General features: G+C 41.1%; 1 annotated feature.

The window, feature by feature from the left end:
* Positions 233 to 837: an enhancer, noted in NCBI's record as "NANOG hESC enhancer chr5:151891040-151891644 (GRCh37/hg19 assembly coordinates)". NCBI's record gives its function as "activates a minimal SCP1, AML or CMV promoter by ChIP-STARR-seq in primed H9 embryonic stem cells {active_cell/tissue: H9 hESC(primed)}" and the evidence as "EXISTENCE:reporter gene assay evidence [ECO:0000049][PMID:30033119]".

Below are 12,840 nucleotides of genomic sequence, written 5' to 3'. Positions count from 1 at the left end.
ACACTGAGCTACCAAATTTGACATTGAACTTAGAAAATTCTTTTGTAAGAATATAGATTGTTTAGTATCTTTTCTTCTTTTTCTTTTTTTTTTTTTTTAAACAGAGTCTCGCTGTATCACCCAGGCTGGAGTACAGTGGCACAGTCACAGCTCCCTGCAATCTTTGCCTCCCGGGTTCAAGGGATTTTCATGCCTCAGCCTCCAGAGTAACTAGGATTATCGGCGTGCACCACCACGCCTGGCTAATTTTTATATTTGTAGTAGTGATGGGGTTTTGCCACGTTGGCCAGGCAGGTCTCGAACTCCTGGCCTCAAGCAATCAGCCTGCCTCAGGCTCCCAAAGTGCTGGGATTACAGGAGTGAGCTGTCATGCCCAGCAGTATCTTTTCTTCTATTGTTACCATATTAGGTAACAAAAAAAGGGATCGGACCCCAGTGGGCTTGGTTTAGTACCCCTTATGTCTCTTCAAACTGAAATCATTAACATCAATCTGAAAAATGCTTACTCTTTCCATCTCCAAATTGAGTTTGCTTCTTCATTTATTGTTCCTCTTACGTTTCTCATTCTTATCCTCTGTCCTACTGTCATTCATCCATGGCCTTTTAACCCCTCTACAAGCCTCCTGCTGTTCTTCCTTTGTTCTGCCTATTCCTCAGGCTTGCTGGTGGTTTCCAAAGGTATAGCTTGGAAATGTTCAAGGCCCTGAGAAATAAACTGATGGCCTCTTTTAAAGATGAAAAATGAAGGGAGAAAGAAAGGATGGATTTTATGGTAAGTAAAGCTAATATGACATTCACATAGAGAAACATGGCTCGCATGTTTATTGTTTTCGAGTACGGCAAAATCTTTGAACAACAAAGGAATGTTTTTCAATACTCAATGTTTTTGGCTAAGAAATGTATCCCTTGAGATTTGAAGCAAATGGGATTACAAGGCACAGTCTGAGTATCAATATATCTTCCATCCCACCCTGTGCAGTTGCCTAGTAACATCTAAGTGTATCAGCTCTATTCTAAATCAAATCGATCTCTGACCCAACTTCACAGTTTTATAATTCTTCTCTAGGGAGAGTCAGACCTTAGGTCAGCAGCCATTCTGATCTAGTTATTAATTGTCTTCAAAAGATGATAGAAAATGCTCACAGAGTATAAGAGAGCAAGTCATGATTGACTCGGGAGATAAAGGGTGGACTGAAGCAGTACTGCCAAACGATCATTTAAACAGAGTTGGCAACTTTATCCAAAGCAAGTACCCTTTCAGGATTTACACAAAAACAGCTTTACATTAACCAACTTGATTAAAGAAAGTAAATGAACAATTATTCTGACCTCATATTTTATTAATGGGAAAACTGAGTGTCTTAGTTTGTTTTCTGTTGCTGTAACAAAGTATTACAGACTGGGTAATTTATAAAGCAAAGAAATGTACTTATCTCATGGAGGCTGGAGAATCCAAGTCCAGATGGTGCTGGCATCTTTTGGGGGCCTTCTTGCTTGTCATAACATGGCAGAAGACCTTACATGGTGTGAGGGCAAGAGCATGAGAGCCAAAGAGAACTTGCTTTTATAACAAAGCCACTCACAAAATAATAAACCCACTCCTGTGATAGCAATATTAACCCATTCGTGAGAGCAGAGGGATTAAGTTTCCAACACATGAACTTTTGGGAGACACATTTAAACCATAGCACAGAGGTTCTGACAGGAAAAATTATGTGTCCAATATCACAGAAAATAAAGGTAGTGATGGCAGAGCATGATGGTGTCTTATTGTGGTTCTCTATCATATCAGTTTGTTCAAAGCCATGTCCCTCAGGCTACTACCAGTGAGTGTTTTGTTCAAAGTATTTTTTACTGCTGGACTGCTCAGAATTTTCAATATGCTAATGTGTACTGTGTATCTCTGAAGGGACATCTATTGGGTCTGTTTTCCACACTTATTTGGCCAGAGAACAACATTTTGGACCAGCAATTCATGAAATCTGCTTTTGAACTAGATACATAACATTTCCCATTTTGATGGACTTGACCAAATCTAGCAGCCATTTTGACCTTTTGTCATACCAGCAAGAGTTTGTATGGTTTCAACTGCTCTATGTTATCTGGTTGCTGAACCAGTGGTAAGTATGATACCTATATGACGTGGTTTCTACATCTCTACTGTAACTTCCTTCCTCCAAGTCACCATCTTCTCTTTCACTTTTTTCCTATATTCTAACTGGTTTTCTTAATTCTGCTTTTATCCTCTAAGACATGTTCTCTGCTCATTAATCATCATGGGGAGGCTGAAGCAGGAAGATTGCTTGAGGCCAGCAGTTTAAAACAAGCCTGGCCAATATAAGAAGACCTTGTCTCTACAAAAAATTGAAAAGTTAGCCAGGCATGGTGGCACACATCTATAGTCCTAGCTACTTGGGAGGCTAAGGCAGGGAGGATCATTTGAGCCCAGGAGTTTTAGGTTGCCTTGAGGGTTGATCATGCCACTGCATTCCAGCCTGGTGACAGAGGGGAACTTGCAGTTGGCATTGGTCAACAGAAAGAGCCCAGTTCTTCTCCACAACAATGCCTGATCCCACATCACACAACCAATGCTTCAAAAGTGAATGAGTTGGGCTACAAAGTTTTGTCTCATCTCCTATATTTACCTGACTTCTCACCAACAAACTATCACTTCTTCAAGCATCTCAGCAACTTTTTGCAGGGAAAATGCTTCCACAACCAGCAGCATACAGAAAATTCTGAGAGTTCCTTGAATCCCAAAGCATGGATTTTTATGCTACAGGAATAAATAAATGTTTCTCATTGGCAAAAATATATCGATTGTAATGGTTCCTATTTTTGTTAATAAAGACGTGTTTGAACCTGGTTATAATGATTTTAAATTCACGGTCTGCAACAGCAATTACTTTTGCACGAACCTAAGGTGTATAAAACAGTTATGTAAGAAAGGCTAAGTGGGGTTTTGGTAAAGTTCAAAATACTTTTCTTCTGAAGAATAACAGTTGTTGGTTATTTTAGTAATATCTCATTTCAAAAGTGACCAAAAATATTAGCTTATAAACAAAAGACTAAGAAAGGCTTAGTTGACAGAGCACCTCACTGCAATTGAGGAGATCAAGTTCTACATCAGCAAATGCCACTCACTTTAGGTGATCTTTAGCAAGTGACTTCTTTGCTCTGAGCCTCATTTTTTTTTTTAAATATAAGACTGGACTAAAATGATATTAGAGTTTATTACAGCATTTGCACCCTGATTGCTGAAGTCAGAGGTTTATGACATGAACAGGCTTGATTACAAAATCCAATCTTCCCAAGCTTTCAGTGATCCATTCTACTTTTTTGAGTTCTTGGAAAGAAACTCCTATTTTATCACACTCACAACACAAACTAAGAAATTCTAAGGTTAAATGGTGAGGTGATAATCATATAACAGATAATTTTCAATTCCAGTAATTCCTGAGCACCTGGAACTGGGCACTGTTCTGTCCTGATAGAGCTTTCATTAGTCTAGTTGATGAGATAGACAGTAAATAAGATACATAAGTAAAATATATACTAGAATAAATAATGTTAGGTACTGAAGGTGTAAAATAGAGCACAAAAACGGGAGGCTAAGGCAGGAGAATGGCGTGAACCCAGGAGGCGGAGCTTGCAGTGAGCCAAGATCATGCCACTGCACTCCAGCCTGGGCGACAGAGCGACACTGTCTCAAAAAGAATAAAAAATAGAACACAAAAAGGGAATAAAAAGTATTCTTAGGTTAAATCTTAGAATTAAAATTTTAGATAAGATGGACAAGGAAGACTTCAGTGAGATGGTGATGGCAGAATAAAAGAACTGAAGAAGTGACCCATGCAGATATCTGGTAAAGAACATTCCAGACAGAGGAAACCACAGTACAAACGCCTTGAGATAGGAACTCACCTAGTATGTTCAATAAACAGACAGCTTGCCATTGTTCTGACTACAGCAGAATGAGCATGAGAAACAGTAACAGGATATGAGCTTGTTGAAGTAATTGGGGGCCTGTGATCATGATAATGACATTGACTTTTATTCTGAGTGAGGTGCAGAGCTATTGGAAGATTTCAAATAGAGACTGTATTTTCATAAAATCAGTTTGTCTGCCCTAATAACAATTATGTGTGTGTATGTCTGTGTGTGGGTCTCTGTGTGTTTGTGTGTGTATGTATGTATGTGTGTATGTATGTGTGTATGTCTTTAGGGGGATGCCAGGGATGAAGGGAGTCCAGTTAGAAGGTTATTGTGATCATTCCAGAAAAAGGTAATGGAGACACTGATCAAAGTGTTTGCAGGAGAAAAGGTGAAAATATGGCCCAGTTCTGGGTATATTTCCAAGAAAGAGATGTGAGGATCTGCTGAGAAATCTGATGTGGGGTTAGAAAGAGTTAAAGAGTTAAAGGCTTTTCTTTAGTGAGCATTCACACATTTCCAGTTGGCCAGTGTGAGGATGTTCATGCTTGACCAGTGTTATGATCAAATATTCCCCTCCATTCTAAGCAACTGCATTGCTTAATCAGAGTTGTGAGATCCTGAAGCTGGACAGAACCATAAAAAAATGACCTGGGCTCATTAGTGGATTATCAATGGAGGTGACAACTTTCCAGGAAATTTCAGATCCTATTCTATGCTTCTAATATGCGTGAACTTCAGCTTCCTTACCTTTGGGTCAGAGCATCTTCGCAAGTCATTCTTGCCTGCCTTATATTTATAGTCATTAATTCAACAAACTGAAGCATTACAGATCTAGCTCCTTGAGGGCAAAGCTAATACTTTTCTATTTCAGAAAATAGATATACATCTCCTCTCTGCACAAGAGTATGAAGTAACCAATAACTGAGTTTTGTTTTCTGTCCAGAAACCATGAATAAAAAATTATTATATCCAACCGTTTCTGACTCAATACTATTAACACAACTATGCTTCCTAGAAAAAAATATATGGATATTACAAAAAAGCAAACATACACAACCCAGAATAACAACTCCCAAATCTGATGGGTCATGTGAATCACCATGGGATTCTGCTGAGGATATAAATCTCTGTACCCCTTAACCTAGTAAATCAAAATCTCTGGCAGCAGAACTTAAGCACACATATTTCTGATACATTTCTCTGCTGAGTCTGATGCTCCTTCAGGTTTAGGAGCCAGTAGCTGAGCATCTCTGTGTTTGTGGACCACCGCTAATAGCACTGGTCTAGTGAAAGCAATGGCCTGTATTATTCTCACAATCACCCACTTGCTGGTGTTTTGCTCAAGAAGGTACCCTAATACTGGTCAGTCATAGAGCCCCTGGCTGTTCCATTTACTCCATCTGGTCTGGAATCATATTCAAGTGGAAGTACATTAGCTCTCTGAATGTGCTCAGCGGTAAGCTATAGCTGGCTCAACAGAGTTTGAGAAGATCCTCCTAACTTCTTGCTAAAAGTTAATGGACATGTATGATCCTATTGAAGTGATGGAAATGCTCGAAAAAAGGTTTATGATGATATAAATTTAGCACCTGGTAAATTCACTAAAAAAGAAATTATTGAATTGTGTGAATGGTGTATATGGTGTGTGAATTAAAATAGGCAAATTATATGATATGTAAAATATGGCTCAGTAACATTTAAAAAATGACCCTCATCTCCTGCAGCTAGAGGGTAGACAGCTAAAAATTAGGCACAGGGATTAATTTTAGAAGAGGCAGAACTTCAGAGAAGACCGAATTCTTATTTTAGACACGTCTTTTATGCCAAAGTGAGGCCCCTGATAAGAAAAGATGTCTCCTACTTGGGATGAGGTTATTTGCATATGTGTTCTTAGATACGTTGAACAACAAGAATGCCAAGATAATCCTGAATCCTTTGGGATTACACAAGTGGCCCATTTTCCCTTACTTGATGGCTGTGAAGAAACCCTAAGTGCAGTAGGTCCCTTAAAATGCAATGCTGGCTTTTCTCAGGATCTATCCTAACCTCCTTTCTAGGCACCAGATCAATAACTCATGTAACATCTCATCATGACCCAACTGGAAAAGTTACGGATATGCTAAAAGAGAAGATGGAGTCTCAGCCAGTGGAACCATAAATGTGGTTTACACGTTCTGGAACCTAGAGAATCTTTGTGTTAGATAAAGGTGGAGAGGAATGGATTATAAAGTTAGGTAAGAGGATTTGTTGGTATGGGACAGTATTCTCAGGCAAGATTTAACACACTGAAAAGACTCTGGGAGAAGGTTCTAATATTTTGCCAAGGTGATATTTGAAAACTTGGAAAAAGACATAGCCAACCTTAAAAATAGAGATAGCAGAATTGCCTTGGCAAACTGTGGAGAATAGAATCAACAGGCACAGAGAAGTGGGTATACTAGAATGTTTCTACTACATATTAGAAAACCTACTGGCTGATTAAGTTCCTCAGAAGGGCTCAGAGGACGTTTCATTTTACTAAAGAATTAAGAAATGCAGTACTCACAGCACTGCTCCAATGAAAGCAACGGCCAGTATTATTCTCACAATCACTCACTTGCTTGTGTTTGGAGGGGAGGGGACCAGCATCATTCATAGTTCATCAGTGGTGGCATCTGAGGCTTACACTGACAATAGGAAACGCTATTGCAAAACTGGGTTTTCTAATAGCAATGGGAGATAGATTACATACTGACGCCAGGTGGCAGCACTTCAACATCAAAAACAGTAGACGTAATTACCATAATCAGCGGCAAGGTTAGAATGGCAGCTACAGGGGTGAGCCATACTCTGGCCTGCAGGATTCTATGGCGTTGGCTTGTAAAACGTGATGTTCCTAGGGGCAATGTAATTGGTCACCTCAATGGATAATTATGATCCCTGTCCAGTTTCCAGGCCTGAGCATTCTCACACCCAGAACCCATTGACTGAAGAAGTAGGCAAGTCTCCTATGAGGAAAAGACACTGCAACATCACGAGAAGTATATATAGCAGTGATTTCAACCAGCTCTTCCCCAGAAATACCTATCACCATTTTCTTGGGTGACAAAACACTGGGGTAAAGGGACTATTCAATTCATTTGAGGGCTGCTGGATACAGGGTCTGGGTTAATTAATACTGATATTAATTACTGATATCCAAAGAAGTGAAGCAGTATTATGTCCTACCTATGAGACTCAGGGATTAAGTAAATAATAAATGGATTTCTAGCTCAGGTTTCTTAAGTCTCTCCCATGACCACCAGTTGGTCTGTAGATCCAAGACCCTGGATCTACAGACCAACTGGTGGTCATGTCCCTAGATCCCAAGTGTTTTATTAGAAAGGACACAATTAGCAGTTGGCAGAACCTTCACATTTCTTTCTTAACCTGTAGGATAAGAACTATCATAATAGGAAAGATTAGGCTATAGCCACAAAAACTACTCCCATGTCTAGCTAAGATGATAAATCAAAAACAGCATTGCACACAGGTGGCATGACAGATTAACATCATTCTCAAAGACATAAAGGTATAATCTTGGCACTATTGGGGGCCAAGATGGGAGGATTGCTTGATCCCAGGAGTTTGAGACCAGCCTGGGCAACATAGAGACCTCATCGCTACAAAAATTTAAAAATTTAACCAGGCTTGGTGGCGCATGCCTGTAGTCCCAGTTACTCAGGAGGCTGAGGTAGGAGAATTGCTAGAACCTGGGAGATCGAGGCTGCAGTGAGCTGTGATTATGCCACTGCACTCCAGCCTCGGTGACAGAGTAAGACCCTGTCTCCCCCTAACCCAAAAAAGACATAAAGGATGTAGGAATGATAGTCTCCCTCATAATCTTACATAATTAATCAGTCTCATCCCTGCCAAAAAAAAAAAAAAAATGGACCCTGGCAAAACAATAGTGGGTTAAACAATAAATTTCCCAAGCAGAAGTCTCCACTGGGTCTTCTGTGCTGAATGTGATACCTTTACTGAAACAGGTGAGCACAGCCTTGGGTCTGTGGTGTGTGGTTAATAAATTATTTCCCCTGCTCATTAGAAGAGCTTCTCCTAATACTGGAGCATCTCTTGATACTCCTGTGCCTAACTCTTACTCTAAATGGGAAAGTTGATCAAGCACAGCCTGATAAAGGCATGATAACCAGCTCTTCAGACATATTAGAGATGAGGATCAGCCTAAGGCAAGCCACCTATACCTGAGAAGTGCTAGCGGAGAGGGAAAGGAGTCTAGGATCGGGGGCAGAGAAAGGAGTTGAGTATGTTTCAGCTCAGGACTAACTACTGCAGCAGGTGCTGTAGTTCATCCCACTAATCCTTCTCTTAAAAATTTCCCAGGACTCGGCTGGGTGTGGTGACTCACGCCTGTAATCCCAGCACTTTGGGAGGCCGAGGCGGGAAGATCACTTGAGGCCAGGAGTTTGAGACCAGCCTGGCCAACATGGTGAAACCTCGTCTCTACTAAAAATATAAAAATTAGCCAGGCATGGTGGTGGGCGCCTGTAATCCCAGCTACCTGGGAGGCTGAGGCAGAAGAATCACTTGAACCCGGGAGGCAGAGGTTGCAGTCAGCCGAGATCATACCACTGCACTCCAGCCTGGGTGACAGAGTGAGACTCCATCTCAAAAAAATAAAAAATAAAAAATAAAAAAATCCCCAGGACTCTTGAACCCAGAATCCTGGAGAGGCCATAACTGGATAAAATGAATGTCATATGAGAAGCAAGTGGTTCTGAGCAATGTGTAGGGAGGACTACAGAAGGCACCACAACACCCTATCCAGCCCGGCCTGGGTGTGCCCTGGGCTGGCATACCCAGACCCCAGCCTCTGTGAGGCGCTGGCTGATTGCTCACTCTGTGCCTCTCCTCTGGAGAACTGTCCCAGCTGACAAGAGTGGCCTCCCCCAGAAAGTTTTGCATGCAACACCTTCTGGAGGTAGCCCACAGCCAATGGCTGACTCATATGTAGTACGAAGGGCTCACCCCTTTGCCTCAAAGTGTGAGGACTCTGCAGGACAACTCCCTGGGCAGTTTATGCTCTGGAATTCCCCACATCCTCACAGATCAGGTCAAGATTAGGCTTCATGTGGGGCCACATTCTTCTCCCCTACTTCCCCTTGGTGCTTCACTCTCTTTTGTAAGTTTACACCTGAATCCTGGTCTGAGGCTCTGTTTCTATGAGACTTGCCCTAAGACACATGGTTTAAATAAGACATAGGTCTTTGGGGCCCCCAAAGAAGAATTCAGGGACTAGGCAGTTTCAGTGTGATATTAGAGCAGCCCCCAAGTCAGAGACCCAGGCTCCTCTTTCTTCCCTTCAACCTTACTTCATGGCTGCTGCCATCACACCCACATTCCACCTAACAGAAAGTCAGGGTGAGATAGCAGCCGAAGTGTGCACCTCATCATGCTTAGTCTTGCTTAGAAGCTTTCATGGACACCCTATTTGATGGCTTTGTTCACATCTAGTGGCCGCAGCCCCCATCAGTAAGAGAAACTGGGAAAGGTAAGCTTTCAGCTAGCCACATAGATGCTACCCATTAACAGCCTATTAGAAAGGAAGATGGGAGAGCAGAGATGCTGGCAGTCTCTGCTACGGGCCCTACAGTCTCTGCTACTATGGCAATGGGGCCTGACACAAGGATTGAAACCTCCTAAGACAGTAGTCTTTTATAGATCACCTCACCAGAGTCACAACTGATCAGGAAGTATGGTGAGAAGAGTATATTTACCTAGTAGAAGTAAAGAAACAATAATATGTGGAACCAGACATGGCTCCCGGGCAGTCTGGGACCTATTCATGGGTTCGTGTATCTAATTCTAGACCATAGAGGTAGGGATAGGTAAGTGCCTTTTGATCCCAAATTCTTCCTATGAAAGCCACTTTTTCTCACCCTCAAGGCATATGCTTTGTTCTCTAAGTAGAACTTGCTGCATAAAGCCTTAACAAAAATGCCCAGGGCTCAGCAGAGCTTACATTTTATTTATTGTACAACTTTTAAATGCTACAGATTCATCCTCAGTACAACTAATTATCATATCAATGAAATCACGGTAGAATTACCAGAACCACTTTCTCTGTCCAAAGAAGACTCAATAAGGAAAATAATTATATCAAATTTCTGCTTAACATAAAAAAGTTAACCCCAAACTGTTTTTTCCCCCAAAGATTCATTAAACCTTGAGGACCAAAAAATAGCTGAAGAGCTTTAATGTATAGTAACATTTTTCTGAATAATCTTATCACCATTTCTTGAATTTGAGAATCTTCTATCCTATAATTCTACCTCTCCAAGTCCTAATAATGTGCCCATTCCAAACAGATCACTTCAGGAATAATCACACCAGCCATAACTACATAATACAGCCATTCAGTACAGGGAGTAAAATCACTGTTATAAATGAATCACAGGCCGGGCGTGGTGGCTCACGCCTGTAATCCCAGCACTTTGGGAGGCCAAGGTGGGTGGATCACGAGGTCAGGAGATTAAGACCATCCTGGCTAACACAGTGAAACTCCGTCTCTACTAAAAATACATAAAATTAGCCGGGCGTGGTGGTGGGCGCCTGTAGTCCCAGCTATTTGGGAGGCTGAGGCAGGAGAATGGCGGGAACCCAGGAGGTGGAGGTTGCAGTGAGCCGAGATCGCGCCACAGCACTCCAGCCTGGGTGACAGAGCGAGACTCCATCTCAAAAAAATAAAATAAAATAAATAAAATAAAAAAATAAAAAGGAATCACAATATCTTTGTGAAATAGAAAAAAAAGTGTATGCAATTAATATTGTTTTTAGAATTGAAGGCAAAATTGTAAGTCATGTGCTAGAGGTCAGATAAAACAAAGAACTGAAACTTCCTGGTTTCTGTTTCCAGGCCCTGGTCAATATTTTCTTGACTTTTGCTTTTTATTTACACCTTACTCTATGTGGCAGAATCCGCAACTATCCTCTAGTATCCATGTTTCCTTTTGTCTTTTCAGTATAGAATCTCCTGAGGTTTTTTTTTTTTTATTCATTTTTGGTTTTTAAATAGAGACAGGGTCTTGCTCTGTCACCCACACTGGAATGCAGTGGTACAATCATAGCTCACTACAGCCTGAAACTCCTGGGAGCAAGTGGTCCTCCCAAAGTGCTGGAATCATAGGAATGAGCCATCATGGCTGGCCCACTCTCTTGAGTTTTCTCCAGGAACATGGATGGCTGCCCAGGTAAAGGTGGCATTTTCCATCCCAGGCACCTGAACAAATTTGGAAGGAAGTGATATGCAAAACTTCCAGTTACATTCTCTTTTTTTTTTTTTTTTTTTTTTGAGACGGAGTCTTGCTATTCTTAAAGATGTAAAGATGGAGCTGCTTTCCACTGATGCTCTGACGGCTGGCTGACAAATGAAGATCATAGCAACCCTGGAAGTCTCGTGCTAAGGATTAAAGATCACAGAGCAATGCTACTAGCCTCAGACCACTCACCTCTGAACTTGTGTGTGCAACAGAAGATATTTTATATTATCTAAGCTACCATACTGAATAATTTCTTTTTCCTCTTAATACATTTCACCCAATCTCAGACATCAGTCAAAAAAGAAGCCTTACTCTAAGGCTCATTTAAAGTGAAAGGAGTTCAGAGGGACCCAAAGGCAAGATAACTAGAAATTATGTTCCAGGGTGGGGCTGGGTGGGGAAGGGAACCATCTGAAAGAAATGAGAATATGTATATAACTTGAGGAAGGAAAAAAAAAAAAAAGGACACCAGAGGAATTCTCTTAATATTCTTTAAGGATCATTGTGTGTGAAAAGAATTACACTTATGCTCATATAGAACAAGGAAATAAAGTGAGATTAATTTTCAGAAGCCCAATAGAAACAAATTTCAGTCCCTTTAAAGGAAGAGCTTTCTCATAATCGCAACAACCCACAGATATTCAGGAATGTCCCGGGTAGTAATGAGTTTCCTGTCCCTGGAAGGTAATAATGAGTTCCCTAACACTGGAAGTATGCAAGCAAAATTTTATGTGAGAGAGGGTGGAGCAAAGGTCATGACTCAGACAGAACAAGTCCTAATTCTTTCTGTGTCCAGTTATCAATTGTTGTTTAATAACATGTATCAGCCAAGTCTTCATTTGTAAAATGGGGTTAATTTTAATATTTATGTGATAGAGTTATAAATAACAAAAGATAAGATGCATATGAAAAACTTCCAAAGGAGATGCTAGATGATGCTATTTGGTGGGGATATTTAAGTGGGGTTTAATCATTAGCTAGGGAAAGAGGAAAGAATGGCACGATAAACGGTCCTAAGAGTCTGTGATTCTGAAATATAAATTTCCCTTTCAGTGATTTATAACCATGATGCATAATGAAAACATCTAGCTAACAAAGTAAGCAAATTGTTCCTCCCATTGTGGGAGAGATTTATTTTTTCAAGAATAATTAAATTGAGTGGCCCTTTAGTCACTCTCCACCTACCATTCCACACCCATAGGAATACTCAGAACATTTCAGCCTCCTTGTTGGATGAGAGAATTATAACTTCTGGATACTCCCAGAAGTTCTTCCATGCCTGTTTTCCTATTTATACTTGTATTGAGACAGCCAAGTATAAAGGGGTGCCCGGAGAAACTCCGATCAGCCTGCACACTGGGAGAACGCAGTGGAGCCATGGAAATTCGCGCCCTTTGCAGGCGATAGGAGCCTGGCCTCTCCTGTTCCAGGGTGGTAACCTGGAATTCAAACTGTGAGGCAGGAAGCCTACTAGCAGGACTTGCTTTGCTGAGAGTCCCTGTTTTCTTTTATACCTTTTCATCCAATAAACGCTGCCCTTCTCACCCTTCCAAGTGTCTGCAAGCCTAATCTTTCATGGCTGTGTGACAAGAACCCAGCCTTTAGC

Source organism: Homo sapiens, chromosome 5 (genome assembly GCF_000001405.40).
Source record: "Homo sapiens chromosome 5, GRCh38.p14 Primary Assembly".
Lineage (NCBI taxonomy): Eukaryota > Metazoa > Chordata > Mammalia > Primates > Hominidae > Homo > Homo sapiens.
The sequence above is the reverse complement of the archived record's forward strand: the minus strand, read 5'-3'. Positions and strand labels throughout refer to the sequence as shown.